The sequence below is a fragment of the Homo sapiens genome, chromosome 2 (genome assembly GCF_000001405.40).
Source record: "Homo sapiens chromosome 2, GRCh38.p14 Primary Assembly".
NCBI classification, from domain to species: domain Eukaryota; kingdom Metazoa; phylum Chordata; class Mammalia; order Primates; family Hominidae; genus Homo; species Homo sapiens.
The window spans coordinates 171368646-171384445 of NC_000002.12; the positions used below are offsets into that span (position 1 = coordinate 171368646).

General features: G+C 38.6%; 1 protein-coding gene and 1 pseudogene across 11 annotated transcripts in view; both read right to left on the reverse strand.

Annotated features, from left to right (window-relative positions):
- METTL8 (methyltransferase 8, tRNA N3-cytidine) overlaps positions 1-15800 on the reverse strand; it is a 119027-nt gene that overhangs the window by 52900 nt on the left and 50327 nt on the right. The gene's annotated exons all lie outside the window — the stretch shown is intronic.
- Positions 6217-6654, reverse strand: RPS26P20 (ribosomal protein S26 pseudogene 20; annotated as a pseudogene).

The window sequence follows — 15800 nt, forward strand, 5'->3', positions numbered from 1 at the left end:
AACCAATATTTTCCAAATTATCCATGCATGATGTTATAAATCATGCCTAGGTAAAGGATCTATCCAAAGTGCAAGGTATACCAGTGTATCATAATATGGCAGAATATAGAGCCAGGCCCTGTGGAGCAGTCTTGTAGTCCCAGCTACTCGGGAGGCTGAGGCAGGAGAAAGGCTTGAGCCCAGGAGTTCACAGCCAGCTTGCGTAATATAGTGAGACCCGGTCTTAAAAAAATATATATATATGGCAGAATATAAAAAGTTCCGTGATATGGTTTCATATGCCATATTGCAACTAAGAAACTACCACTATTGAGATTTAGTGTAATATCAAAAAAAACCCCACAATTATCTGATAAAGGCTATTAAAAACTCCTCTCCAGCCAGGCGCGGTGGCTCATGCCTGTGATCCCAGCACTTTGGGAGGCCAAGGTAGGCGGATCACGAGGTCAGGAGATTGAGACCATACTGGCTAACACGGTGAAACCCCGTCTCCACTAAAAAATACAAAAAATTAGCCGGGCATGGTGGCAGTCGCCTGTAGTCCCAGCTACTCAGGAGGCTGAGGCAAGAGAATGGCATGAACCCGGCAGGCGGGGCTTGCAGTGAGCCGAGATCGCGCCACTGTACTCCAGCCTGGGCAAGAGAGCGAGACTCTGTCTCAAAACAACAACAACAACAAAAAAACTCCTCTCCTTTATAAGCACATATCTGTGAGAGACCAAATTATCTTCATATAATGCAAGAGGATATGAGAATCCAATTTCTTCCATTATGGCAGACATTATAAAGAGACTTGCAAACATTTAGAGCAATGCCACTCTTTGCATTACACTTTTGGGAATATACATTTACATTAAAATATGTCATTTATGTTAATATGTAATGGATTCATTATTGTTTTGGAATTAATAAATGTTTTCATGTCTGAGTTTTAATTTCTAATACAGAAAATATCAATAGACATAATCCATATCCATAAGAAGTCTTTGCGGTTCGTAGTAATTTAAGAGTGTAAAGGGGTCCTGAGACCAAAATGTTTGAAACTATTGCCTTGAAATAATTCCTAAAACAGAATGCAAAGATGTATGGCTAAATGCCAGTAGAGGAAGTAAAAATTGGATACAAAAAATTATTCAATTAGGCTGGTCACGGTGGCTCACACCTGTAATACCAGCATTTTGGGAGGCCAAGGCGGGCGGATCATGAGGTCAGGAGTTCAAGACCAGTCTGACCAACATGGTGAAACCCCGTCTCTACTAAAAATACAAAAATTAGCTGGGCATGGTGGTGCATGCCTATAATCCCAGCTACTCGGAAGGCTGAGGTAGGAGAATCGCTTGAACCTGGGAGGCAGAGGTTGCAATGAGCCGAGATCATGCCATTGCACTCCAGCCTGGGCAACACAGAGAGACTCCATCTCAAAAAAAAAAAAATTATTCAATTTATCCAAAAGCAGGCAGGAAAAAAGGAACAGGGGAAAAAAAGGGCAGAAGAGAGAAATTAAAAAATAAACAGACAACCAAACAAATATTAATATACAATGCTACCTGGACTAGGTGTTATCTTAAGTTTCTTTTCTTTCTGTTTTCTTTGGTGTTAATTTAATAGGTCCAAACATTACTTTATTGTTTGCATTTGTATTTTTTTAACTGTTAAATATTTTCCTGTATGCTCACATGTACTTCCTCCTGGATCAACTTTCTATGTACATTGTTCATTTATCAATTATTAGCAAGTAATGCTTTTCTGACAATATAAAAAATGTTCTATAGGTTAGCCCTGATGTATGGCAGTGGAAAATCATTTAAATTTTTTCTCTCTCCTTTGGTTTTTGTATTAGTAATAGTTCTCAAAACAGCATACGGGCTGGGCACGGTGGCTCATGCCTGTAATCCCACCACTTTGGGAGGCCGAGGTGGGCAGATCATGAGGTAAGGAGATCGAGACCATCCTGGCTAACACAGTGAAACCCCATCTCTACTAAAAATACAAAAAATTAGCCGGGTGTGGTGGTGGGCACCTGTAGTCCCAGCTACTCGGGAGGCTGAGGCAGGAGAATGGCGTGAACCCGGGAGGCGGAGCTTGCAGTGAGCCGAGATCAGGCCACTGCACTCCAGCCTGGGCAACAGAGTGAGACTCCGTCTCAAAAATAAATAAATAAATAAATAACCAGCATACAAATTAAGATTAAGTACTTTGAAGACTTTGGTTTTCCTTGGGAGGAGGTAATTAAGGTGAACAGGACCTAAGGGCTTCTGGGGTCTGCAATGTTCTGCTCCTGACTAGAGTGCTGGGCAGGTGGACATATTACACTTCGTAAATAAATCAAGTTGAGTACTTAAAAAAAGATTAAGTACTCTGAAATTATAATTATTCTATTTCATCAAATCCAATATGCTATTATTTTCTGTACCAGTAATAAAGAAAAAACATTTTCAGCTACAATTTTAAGATGCACAAACTGTAAAAATGTCATGATTTCAGAGATGTTAATAGGTAAATAAAAATGTGAGTCTCAGAAAAGATAAAATATAGCTGTTATAGGCATATCAGCTAATAACTGAAGTAACTTCAATTAAATCTTCCTTTCTACTATTGAGTCTAATTTATATTTGTAACTCCAGGATGCCTACCTCTCTTTTTGGCTATAATGAATATTTCAGTTGGTTACTGTTATTAGTAAATTAGTTTTTGTTTTGTTTTCATTTTTCATTATTAATTTATTTTTTGAGACAGAATCTCACTCCATCACCCAGTTTGGAGTGCTGTGGCACCATCTCGGTTCACTGCAACCTCCGCCTCCCAGGTTCAAGTGATTCTCCTGCCTCAGCCTCCTGAGTAGCTGGGATTACAGGCACGTGCCAACACACCCAGCCAATTTTTGTATTTTTAGTAGAGATGACGTTTCACCATATAGGCCAGGCTGGTCTTGAACTCCCGACCTCAGGTGATGCGCCTGCCTTGGCTTCCCAAAGCACTAGGACTACAGGTGTGAGCCACCGTGCCCAGCCTATAACAAGGTTTTTTTAAAAAAAACCTTTTTAGCCTCTGGAAAAACCTCTGACAGCCTCAAACTCCTGAGTTCAAGCAATCTTTCGGCCTCAGCCTCCTGAGTAGCTAGGACTATAAGTGCATATCACTGCGCCCAGCTAATTTTTAAAATTTTTAAATTACATTATTGTTATTATTACTATTATTATTATTATTATTATTATTATTATTATTGTAGAGACGGGTCTTGCTTTGTTGCCCAGGCTGGTAAATCCAACTCCTGCATCAAGCGATCTTCCTGCCTGGCCTCCCATACTGCTGGGATTACAGGCATGAGTGAGCCACAACACCAGCCTGAGTTTCTTACTTGTGTGACTAACAAAAAACACAAACATAGAGCCAATGCCTTTCTACTTTGCATACAATGGGATGGAGGTCACAGGTGCTGAAGAAACCAATACCCACCTGCCTCATTAAATATTTAGTGGGAACCTATATCTATCAGGCACTGGGCCTGTGAACTGAGGACACAAAGATGAGGAAGATTTGGTAGAACTCAAAATTTTGAGAAGTTGGAATCAGTATTAAAGAATACAGAATTTGCCATCAGGTAGATAGCAAGATGGGAAATAGGTACATAAGGAAGGGGGCATTTTTTTTTTAAATTAAAACTCAATACCAATGCATATAAAATATAGTTACATCTCTACCCTCCCTCTCATCCCCATTCCCATCTCTGATGTAAATACCATTATCAGGATAATGTGGACCTTTTCAGACTTTTCTCTCTATATATAAAAGCAAAGGTGTATATACATGTAACACAGGTACAATAATTTCTTTTTATTATTATTATTATTATTATACTTTAAGTTCTAGGGTACATGTGCACAACGTGTAGGTTTGTTACATATGTATACATGCGCCATGTTGGTGTGCTGCACCCATTAACTCGTCATTTACATTAGGTACATCTCCTAATGCTATCCCTCCCCACTCCCCACACCCCACAACAGGCCCCGGTGTGTGACGTTCCCCTTCCTGTGTGCAAATGTTCTCATTGTTCAATTCCTACCTATGAGTGAGAACATGTGGTGTTTAGTTTTCTGTCCTTGCGATAGTTTGCTGAGAATGATGGTTTCCAGCTTCATCCATGTCCCTACAAAGGACATGAACTCATCTTTTTTTATGGCTGCATAGTATTCCATGGTGTATATATGCCATATTTTCTTCATCCAATCTATCACTGATGGACATTTGGATTGGTTCCAAGTCTTTGCTATTGTGAATAGTGCCGCAATAAACATACGTGTGCATGTGTCTTTATAGCAGCATGATTTATAATCCTTTGGGTATATACCCAGTAATGGGATGACTGGATCAAATGGTATTTCTAGTTCTAGATCCTTGAGGAATCACCATACTGTCTTCCACAATGGTTGAACCAGTTTACAGTCCCACCAACAGTGTAAAAGTGTTCCTATTTCTCCACATCCTCTCCAGCACCTGCTGTTTCCTGACTTTTTAATGATCACCATTCTAACTGGTGTGAGATGGTATCTCATTGTGGTTTTGATTTGCATTTCTCTGATGGCCAGTGATGATGAGCATTTTTTCATGTGTCTGTCGGCTGCATAAATGTCTTCTTTTGAGAAGAGTCTGTTCATATCCTTTGCCCACTTTTTGATGGGGTTGTTTTTTTCTTGTAAATTTGATTGAGTTCTTTGTAGATTCTGGATATTAGCCCTCTGTCAGATGGGTAGATTGTAAAAATTTTCTCCCATTCTGTAGGTTGCCTGTTCACTCTGATGGTAGTTTCTTTTGCTGTGCAGAAGCTCTTTAGTTTAATTAGATCACATTTGTCAATTCTGGCTTTTGTTGTCATTGCTTTTGGTGTTTTAGACATGAAGTCCTTGCCCATGCCTATGTCCTGAATGGTATTGCCTAGGTATTCTTCTAGAGTTTTTATGGTTTTAGATCTAACATTTAAGTCTTTAATCCATCTTGAATTATTTTTTGTATAAGGTCTAAGGAAGGGATCCAGTTTCAGCTTTCTAATATGGCTAGCCAGTTTTCCCAGCACCATTTATTAAATAGGGAATCCTTTCCCCATTTCTTGTTTTTGTCAGGTTTGTCAAAGATCAGATGGTTGTAGATGTGTGGTATTATTTCTGAGGGCTCTGTTCTGTTCCATTGGTCTATATCTCTGTTTTGGTACCAGTACCATGCTGTTTTGGTTACTGTAGGCTTGTAGTATAGTTTGAAGTCAGGCAGCGTGATGCTTCCAGCTTTGTTCTTTTGGCTTAGGATTGTCTTGGCAATGCAAGGTCTTTTTTGGTTCCATGTGAACTTTAAAGTAGTTTTTTCCAATTCTGTGAAGAAAGTCATTGGCAGCTTGATGGGGATGGCATTGAATCTATAAATTACCTTGAGCAGTATGGCCATTTTCACGCTATTGATTCTTCCTATCCATGAGCATGGAATGTTCTTCCATTTGTTTGTGTCCTCTTTTATTTAGAGGTCCTTCGCATCCCTTGTAAGTTGGATTCCTAGGTATTTTATTCTCTTTGAAGCAATTGTGAATGGGAGTTTACTCATGATTTGGCTCTCTGTTTGTCTGTTATTGGCATATAAGAATGCTTGTGATTTTTGCACATTGATTTTGTATCCTAACACAGGTACAATAATTTCTTAACAAAAATGAGGTCATACTGGAGAAAATTCTCTTCAGCTTGCTCTTTTCATTTAATGATATATCATACCCATCTCTTGATTTCAGTATACATAGATCTCTCATTTTTATTAACTGCTACATTATTTTCCAATGTATGGAAGTAACTTTTTTTAAGGTTTTAATGAGGTGTAACTGACATACAGTAAACTGTATTCAAAGTGTACAACTTGGTAAGTTTTAATATATGTAGACACTTGTGAAATTTTCACCGTAATCAAGAAAATGAACATGTCCATTCCCTTCAAGTTTCCTTGTGCCCCTTTGTAATTCCTCCCTCCCACCCCTCCCCTTCTCCCCACTCACCTCCACCACTAGCATCCACTGATTTGCCTTCTGTCTCTATAGATTAGTTTGCATTTTCTAGTACAGTAAAAGAAAGTATTGTATGTACTCTATTTCTAACTTCTTTCACTCAGCATAATTATTCTGAAATTCATCCATGTTGTATATGTTTAACATACACAGTAGGTGTATGTTTAACTTTTTTTTTTTTAAGTACAATTTCCATTTTATTTTTCTCCAGAGAATAGTCTGTCTTCAGTCTTTAAGAACTCAGCTCCTTACATGGGCTTTGGTGGGGGACGTGGGGCAGCACCCACAGGTCTAAATCAGGGTGGGGGTGTTCGGTCTTTGTGGGCTTCACGAGATCGATTCCTGACTACTTTGCTGTGAATTGCACAACTCACACAGTAATATAGCTTCACATACAGCTTGGGAAGCACATAGGCATTGAAGACGCTCACTTCAGAAATGTCCCTGACTGCTGCGGCCTCCACTACGTTTCGAATGACGAATTTCTTAATGGCCTTGTCCTTGGGCACGCATCGGGTACAGTTAGTGCAGCGAATAGGATGCACGTGGCCGCGGCCCTTTTTGGCATGACCGTTGTTCCTTCTTTTCTTTGTCATCTTGGAGGCACGGACCAGAGATATATGTTTATCTTTTAAAGAAACTGCCAAGTTCCTCGTTAGCATAGTGGTGAGTAAAAACAACCTAAACAAACAAATAAACTGCCAAGTTGTATTCCAAAATGGTTATACCATTTTATATTCCCACCAGCAGTGTATGAAAGTTCCAGTTCCTCTACATCCTTATCAACACTTGGTAAGCTCAGTACTTTTAATTTCAGCTATTCAAATAGGTGTGTAGTAGTATTTTACTGTGCCTTTCATTTGCACGTTTCTAATGACTAATGATATTCAGCATCTTTTCATGTGCTTATTTACCATCTGTATATCTTCTTTGGTGAAGTATCTTAAAATACTTCATTTTTACTGTGTTGTTTGCTTTCTTATTATTGAATTTTGGGAGTTTTAAATTTATTCTGATTATGAATCTTTTATCAACAGTAAAAAGGAACAAACTATTGATACATGTAGCAACACAGATAAATCTCAAAATAATTATGCTGAGTAAGAGAGGCCAGACAAAAAGATAAAACATATTAAATGATTCTGTTTATACAAAATATTGGAAAATACAAGTGAATCTACAATGCATTCTAGGTTCTTTAACCTTCCTTCTTTCCTTTTATTTTGCAGGTAAATTCTCCCTGACACCCAACCTTTTCCAGAGACCTGCTTCTCCTGCCCTGTAAGCTTCATTTCAAAGACTAGACATTATGTATTTTCTGCATTTTTCTGTAGCAGGGGAGACTGGTAGCCTTTATGAGGGTCTGGGTCTTTTGCTTTGTCAAATGATCCTTTACTGAAATATTTTACTTTGTAGTTCTTAACTAACTGGGCATTTGACTGCAACATTGTTGAGTCATCTCTTCCAACTGGGCTGGTCTATTTGCTTGCTTTGAATATACCTCTTGTATTTATTCCCAAATTCACATCTTTATTCATGCTACCACTTGTGTAAAACATTATCTTCACTATTTAAATACTCTTTATCCTTCAAAGCTCAAGTTAAATCCTACCTGCTCTTCCAACCTCATCTTGGGAATCTCTTCCTATCCTGAGTTCCTTTGGTCTTCACTGTCTTCACACTTATCATAAAGGGCATCCAAATTGGAAAAAAGGAAGTCAAACTATCACTGTTCACCGATGATATAATCATATACCTAAAAAATCCTAAAGACTCTTCCAAGAAGCTCCTAGATCTGATAAATGGATTCAGTAAAGTTTCAGGATACAAAATCAATGTACATAAATCAGGAGCACTGCTATACACCAACAACAGCCAAGCTGAGAATCAACTCAATAACTCAATCCCTTTTATAAAGGTTGCAAAAAATAAAATAAAATACTTAGGAATACACTTAGCAAAGGAGGTGAAAGACTTCTACAAGGAAAACTACAAAACACTGCTGAAAGAAATCACAGATGACACAAACAAATGGAAACACATTCCATGCTCATGGATGGGTACAATCAATATTGTAAAAATTACCGTACTGCCAAAAGCAATCTATAGATTCAATGCAATTTCCATCAAAACACCATCATCATTCTTCAAAGAAAAAACATTCCTAACATTTATATAGAACCAAAAAAGAGCCCATAGAGCCAAAGCAACAATAAGCAGAAAGAATAAATCTGGAGGTGTCACATTACCCAACTTCAAACTATACTATCAGGCTTTAGTTACCAAAACAGCATGGTACTGGTATAAAAATAGGCATATAGACCAATGGAACAGAATATAGAACTCAGAAATAAAGCCAAATACTTACAGCCAACTAATCTTCAACAAAACATACAAAAACATGAACCAGGGAAAGGATACTCTATTCAATAAATGGTGCTGGGATAACTGACAAGCCACATAACAGAAGAATGAAACTGGATGCTCATCTCTCACCTTAAGCAAAAATCAACCCAAGATGGATCAAAGATTTAAATCTAAGACTTGAAACCATAAAAATTCTAGAAGATAACATCGGAAAAACTCTTCTAGACATTGGCTTAGGCAAAGAATTCATGACTAAGACCCCAAAAGCAAAACAAAATAAAACAAAAATAAATATAACAACAAAAAATAAATATAACAAAAACAAAAATAAATAAATCAGACCTAGTTAAGCTGAAAAGCTTCTGCAAAGCAAAAGAAATAATCAGCAGAGTAAACAGACAACCCACAGAGTGGGAGAAAATATTCTCAAACTATGTATCTGACAAAGGACTAATATCCAGAATCTACAAGGAACTCAAATCAGCAAGAAATAAAACAAATAATCCTGTCAAAAAGTGAGCAAAGGACATGAATAGGCAATTCTCAAAAGAAGATGTACAAACAGCCAACAAACATATGAAAAAAATGCTCAACATCACTAGTTATCAAGGAAATGCAAATGAAAACCACAATGAGATACCACTTTACTCCTGCATGCATGGCCATAAAAAAAGAAAAATAGATGTTGGCATGTATGTAGTGAAAAGGAAACACTTTTACACTGCTGGTGGGAATGTAAACTAGTACAATCACTATGGAAAACAGTATGGAGATTCCTTAAAGAACTAAAAGCAGAACTACCATTTGATCCAGCAATCCCATTACTGGGTATCTCCCAAAGGAAAAGAAGTAATTATATGGAAAAAAACAAAACAAAACAAAACAAAAAACACATGCACATGCATGTTTATAGCAGCACAATTTGCAATTGCAAAAACATGGAACCAATCTAAATGCCCATCAACCAACAAGTGGATCAACTAGTGTTCAAAATAACCAGCTAGCATCATGATGACAGGATCAAGTTCACACATAACAATATTAACCTTAAATGTAAATTGGCTAAATGCCCCAATTAAAAGGCACAGACTGGCAAACTGGATAGAGTCAAGACCCATTGGTGTGCTGTACTCAAGAGACTCAACTCATGTGCAAAGACATACATAGGCTCAAAATAAAGGGATGGAGGAAAATTTACCAAGTAAATGGACAGCAGAAAAAAGCAGGGGTTGCAATTCTAGTTTCTGACAAGACAGACTTTAAACCAACAAAGATCAAAAAAGACAAAGAAGGGCATTACATGGCTGGATGCAGTGGCTCATGCCTGTAATCCCAGCACTTTGGGAGGCTGAGGTGGGTGGATCATGAGGTCAGGAGTCCAAGACCAGCCTGGCCAACATAGTGAAACCCCATCTCTACTAAAAATACAAAAATTAGCTGGGTGTGGTGGCATGCGCCTGTAGTCCCAGCTACTTGGGAAGCTGAGGCAGAAGAATTGCTTGAACCCGGGAGGTGGAGGTTGCAGTGAGCTAGACCACACCACTGCACTCCAGCCTGGGTGACAGAGCGAGACTCCATCTAAAAAAATAAAAATAAAAAAATAAAAAAAGAAGGGTATTACATAATGGTAAAGGGATCAATTCACAAAGAAAAGCTAACTATCCTAAATATATATGAACCCAATACAGGAGCACCCAGATTCATAAAACAAGTTCTTAGAGACCTACAAGGAGACTTAAACTGCCACACAATAGTGGTGGGAGACTTTAACACCCCACTGTCAATACTGGACAGATCAACAAGACAGAAAATTAACAAGGATATTCAAGACTTGAACTCAGCTCTGGATTAAGCGGAACTGATGGATATCTACAGAACTCTCCACCCCCAGACAACAGATTATATATTCTTCTCAGTGCCATATGGCACTTCCTCTAAAATAGACCACATAATTGGAAATACAACATTCCTCAGCAAATGCAAAAGAATTGAAATAATAACAAATAGTCTCTCAGACCACATTACAATCAAATTAGAACTCGAGATTTAAAAACTCACTCAAAACCACACAACTATATGGAAATTGAACAACTTGCTCCGGAATGACTCCTGGGTAAATAATGAAATTAAGGCAGAAATCAAAAACTTCTTTAAAACCAGTGAGAACAAAGAGACAATGTACCAGAATTTCTGGAATGCAGCTAAAGCAGTACTAAGAGGGAAATTTATAACACTAAATGCCCACATTGGAAAGCTAGAAAGATTTCAAATCAAAACCCTAGCATCACAATTAAAACAACTAGAGAAGCAAGAGCAAACAAATCTACAAGCTAGCGGAAGGCAAGAAATAACTAAGACCAGAGCAGAACTGAAGGAGATAGAGACACAAAAAACCCTTAAAAAAAAAAATCAATGAATCCAGGAGCTGGTTTTTTGAAAAAATTGATAAAATAGATAGACTGCTAACTAGACTAATAAGAAAAGAGAGAAGAATCAAATAGATGAAAAATGATAAAGGGGATATCACCACTGACCCACGGAAATACAAACTACCATCAGAGAGTACTATAAACACTTCCAGGCAAATAAGCTAGAAAATCTAAAGAAATGGATAAATTCCTGGACACGTACACCCTCCCAACACTCAACCAGGAAGAAGTTCAATCCTTGAATAGACCAATAACAAGTTCTGAAATTGAGGCAGTAATAGCTTACCAACCAAAAAAAGCCCAGGACCAGATAGATTCACAGCTAAATTCTACCAGAGGTACAAAGAGGAGCTGATACCATTCCTTCTGAAACTATTACAAACAATTGAAAAGGAGGGACTCCTCCCTAACTCATTTTTTGAGCCAGCATCATCCTGATACCAAAACTTGGCAGAAACACAACAACAAAAAAAGAAAACTTCAGGCCAATATCCCTGATGAACATTGATGCAAAAATCCTCAATAAAATACTGGCAAACTGAACCCAGCAGCACATCAAAAAGCTTATCCACCAATCAACTTGGCTTCATCCCTGTGATGCAAGGCTGGTTCAGCATATGCAAATCAATAAGCATAATCCATCACATAAACTGAACCAATGACAAAAACCACATGATTATTTCAATAGATGCAGAAAAGGCCTTCAATAAAATTCAACATCCCTTCATGTTAAAAACTCTCAATGAACTAGGCATTGATGGAACATATCTCAAAATAATAAGAGCTATTTATGACAAACCCATGGCCAATATTATACTGAATGGGCAAAAGCTGGAAGTATTCCCTTTGAAAACTGGCATAAGACAAGGATGCCCTCTCTCACCACTCCTATTCAACATAGTATTGGAAGTGCTGACCAGGGCAATAAGGCTAGAGAAAGAAATAAAGTGTATTCAAATAGGAAGAGAGGAAGCCAAATTGTCTCTGTTTGCAGATGACATGATCCTATATTTAGAAAACCCCATGGTCTCAGCCCAAAAACTCCTTTAGCTGATAAACAACTTCAGCAAAGTCTGGGAAACAAAATCAATGTGCAAAAATCACAAGCATTCCTATACACCAACAATAGACGAGCAGAGAGCCAAATCATGAATGAACTACCATTCACAACTGCTACAAAGAAAATAAAATACATAGGAATACAGCTAACAAGGGGCATGAAGGGCCTCTTCAAGGAGAACTACAAACCACTGTTCAAAGAAATAAGAGAGGACATAAACGAATGGAAGAACATTCCATGCTCACAGATAGGAACACTCAATATCGTGAAAATGCCCATACTGCCCAAAGTAATTTATAGATTCAATGTTATTCCCATCAAACTACTGTTGACTTTCTTCACAGAATTAGAAAAAACTACTTTAAATTTCATATGGAACTAAAAAAGAGCCCATATAGCTAAGACAATCCTAACCAAAAAGAATAAAGCTGGAGGCATCATGCTACCTGACTTCAAACTATACTACAGGGCTACAGTAACCAAAACAGCATGGTACTGGTATCAAAACAGACATATAGACCAACGGAACAGAACACAGACCTCCATTAAACAGAGAAATAAGTCCACACATCTACAACTATCTGATCTTCAACAAACCTGACAAAAACCAGCAATGGGGAAAGGATTCCCTATATAAATGGTGCTGGGAAAACTGGCTAGCCATATGCAGAAAACTGAAACCGGACTCCTTCCTTAGACCTTATTCAAAAATTAGCTCAAGGTGGATTTAAGACTTAAATGTAAAACCAAAAAACATAAAAACCCTAGAAGAAAACCTAGGCAATACCATTCAGGACATAGGCATGGGCAAAGACTTCACGACAAAAACACCAAAAGCAACTGCAACAAAAGCCAAAGTTGACAAATGGGATCTAATTAAACTAAAGGGCTTCTGCACAGCCAAAGAAATTAGCATCAAAGTGAACAGGCAACCTACAGAATGGGAGAAAATTTTTGCAATCTACCCATCTGACAAAGGGCTAATATCCAGAATCTACAAGGTATTTAAACAAATTTACAAGAAAAAAAAACATCAAAAAGTGGGCAAAGGATATGAACAGACACTTCTCAAAAGAAGACATTTATGCAGCCAATAAACATATGAAAAAAGGCTCATAATCACTGATCTTTAGTGAAATGCAAATCAAAACCATGATGAGATATCATCTCACGAGAGTCGGAATGGCGAGTATTAAAAAGGAAACAATAGACGCTGACAAGGCTGTGGACAATTAGGAACACTTTTTTTTTTTTTTTTTTTTGACATGGAGTCTTGCTCTGTAACCAGGCTGGAGTGCAGTAGCATGATCTTGGCTCACTGCAACCTCCACCTCCAGGGTTCAAGCGATTCTCCTACCTCAGCCTCCTGAGTAGCTGGGACTACAGGCACGCATCACCACGCCCAGCTAATTTTTTTGTATTTTTAGTAGAGACGGGGTTTCACCATGTTGGCCAGGATGGTCTCAACCTCCTGACCTCATGATTCGCCCACCTTGGCCTCCCAAAGTGCTGGGATTACAGGCATGAGCCACCGCGCCCAGCCAGGAATGCTTTTACACTGTTGGTGGGCATGTAAATTAGTTCAACCATTGTGGAAAACAGTGTGGCAATTCCTCAAGGATCTAGAACCAGAAATACCATTTGACCCAGTAATCCCATTACTGGGTATATACCCAAAGGAATATAAATCATTCCACTCTAAAGACACATGCACACATGTGCTTACTGCAGCACTATTTACAATAGCAAAGACATGGAACCAACCCAAATGTCAATCAATAATAGACTGGATAAAGAAAATGTGGTACATATACACCATGGAATACTATGCAGCCATAAAAAAGAATGAGATCATGTCCTTTGCAGGGACATAAATGAAGCTGGAAGCCATCATCCTCAGCAAACTAACGCAGGAATAGAAAACCAAACACTGCATGTTCTCACTCATAAGTAGGAGTTGAACAATGAGAACACATGGACACAGGCAGGGGAACAACATACACAGGGGCCTGTCCAGGGGTGGAGGGCAAGGGGAGAGACAGCATTAGGACAAATCCCTAATGCATGCAACGCCTAAAACCTAGATGACGGGTTGACAGATGCAGCAAACCACCATGGCACATGTATGCCTATGTAACAAACCTGCACATTCTGCACATGTATCCCGGAACTCAAAGTAAAATTTAAAAAAAAAGAAAGAAAAAAAGAAAAGAAAACTACAAAAAAACAAACAAACAAAAAACACACATCTGGGCCAGACGCGGTGGCTCACGCCTGTAATCCCAGCACCTTGGGAGGCTGAGGTGGGTGGATCACCCGAGGTCAGCAGTTCAAGACCATCCTGGCCAACATGATGAAACCCCATCTCTACTAAAAATACAAAAAATTAGCCAGGTGTGGTGGCGGGCGCCTGTAATCCCAGCTACTTGGGAGGCTGAGGCAGGAGAATCACTTGAACCTGAGAGGCGGAGTTTGCAGTGAGCTGAGATCGAGCCACTGCACTCCAGTCTGGGCGACAGAGCAAGACTCTGTGTGAAAAAAACAAACAAACACAAAAACCCCAAAAAACACACATGTGTACTGAACATGTAAAAAACAAAAAGAACCATATATGAAACAGGGCAAGAGGAATCAGATGATAAGTATAATTTTTATATAAGGAAAATTATATAATGAAGAATTCTTGGGATATGAACCCCATTGAGATTCTGTAAACTGTCTATTATTTAAGTGGGTTACATAATAGAAATCACATTGCAACACACAGTCTTACCTTGGATCTACAGAAAACGGCTTAGCTCAGTGTTTTTAAACTGAAGGTCATAAACCTTGGTGAGTCATGAAATCAATTTAGTTACTCTAAGCAACCCTTGAATAAAGAAATAGAAACAGGGTAGAATAAAATAAATGGAAAATACTAGATGCACACCTCCCATGGTAAAAACTGTACTGGAAACTTTTGTTCCTGTTTTATATATGTGTATATGTTATGTACACATGTGCTGGTCCATGATGGAAAGTGTGTTTCTTACTGGGAGCATGCCAATGGCCTAGCTGATGTAGTCATGTAAAACAAGTGCTTAGTGCTTACTTATAAATGGCCGAGATCCCTTGAAAAGTTTCTATATGCTTAAACCAAGAACATTGTGAATAAGGAATGATTTTTCCAAGTAACTGTGTAAGTTGCTCAATATAGACAGATCTCTGGGCCATGTCTCAAAAGCATTTTGAAAATCGTTTCCTGTCATCACCCTCCAAAATTGATAAATGTACTAAGTATAATTAAAAGACAATAGGCAAAATGTAAAATGGTTCAGTCACTGTGGAAAACAATTTGAGTTTCTCAAAAACTTAAACACAGAATTACCACATGACCCTGCAATTCCACTCTTAGGTATATATTCCAAAGAAATGAAAGCAGGGACACAAACAAGAACATAGTTCACCCATGTTCATAGCAGAACTATTCACAAGAGGCAAAACAGGGGAACAGCCCAAATGTCTATCAGTAGATGAATGAATAAACCAACTGTGATGTATACAAACAATGGAATATCATTCAGCCATAAAAAGAACAAAGTGCCAATACATGCTGCAAGGTATATGACCCTCCAAGACATAAGTGAAAGAAGTCAGACATAAAAGGTCGCATTGTATGATTCCATGTCTATGAAATATCCAGAATGGCTGGGTGCGGAGACTTAAACGTCTGTAATCCCAGCACATTGGGAGGCTGAGGCAGGTGGATCACTCGAGCCCAGGAGTTCAAGACCAGCATGGGCAACATGGTGAAACCCCATGTATACTAAAAATACAAAAAAATTAGCTAGCCATGGTGACACACGCCTGTAGTACCAGCTACTTGGGAGGCTGAGGTGGGAGGATCACTTGAGCCCAGGTGGTCGAG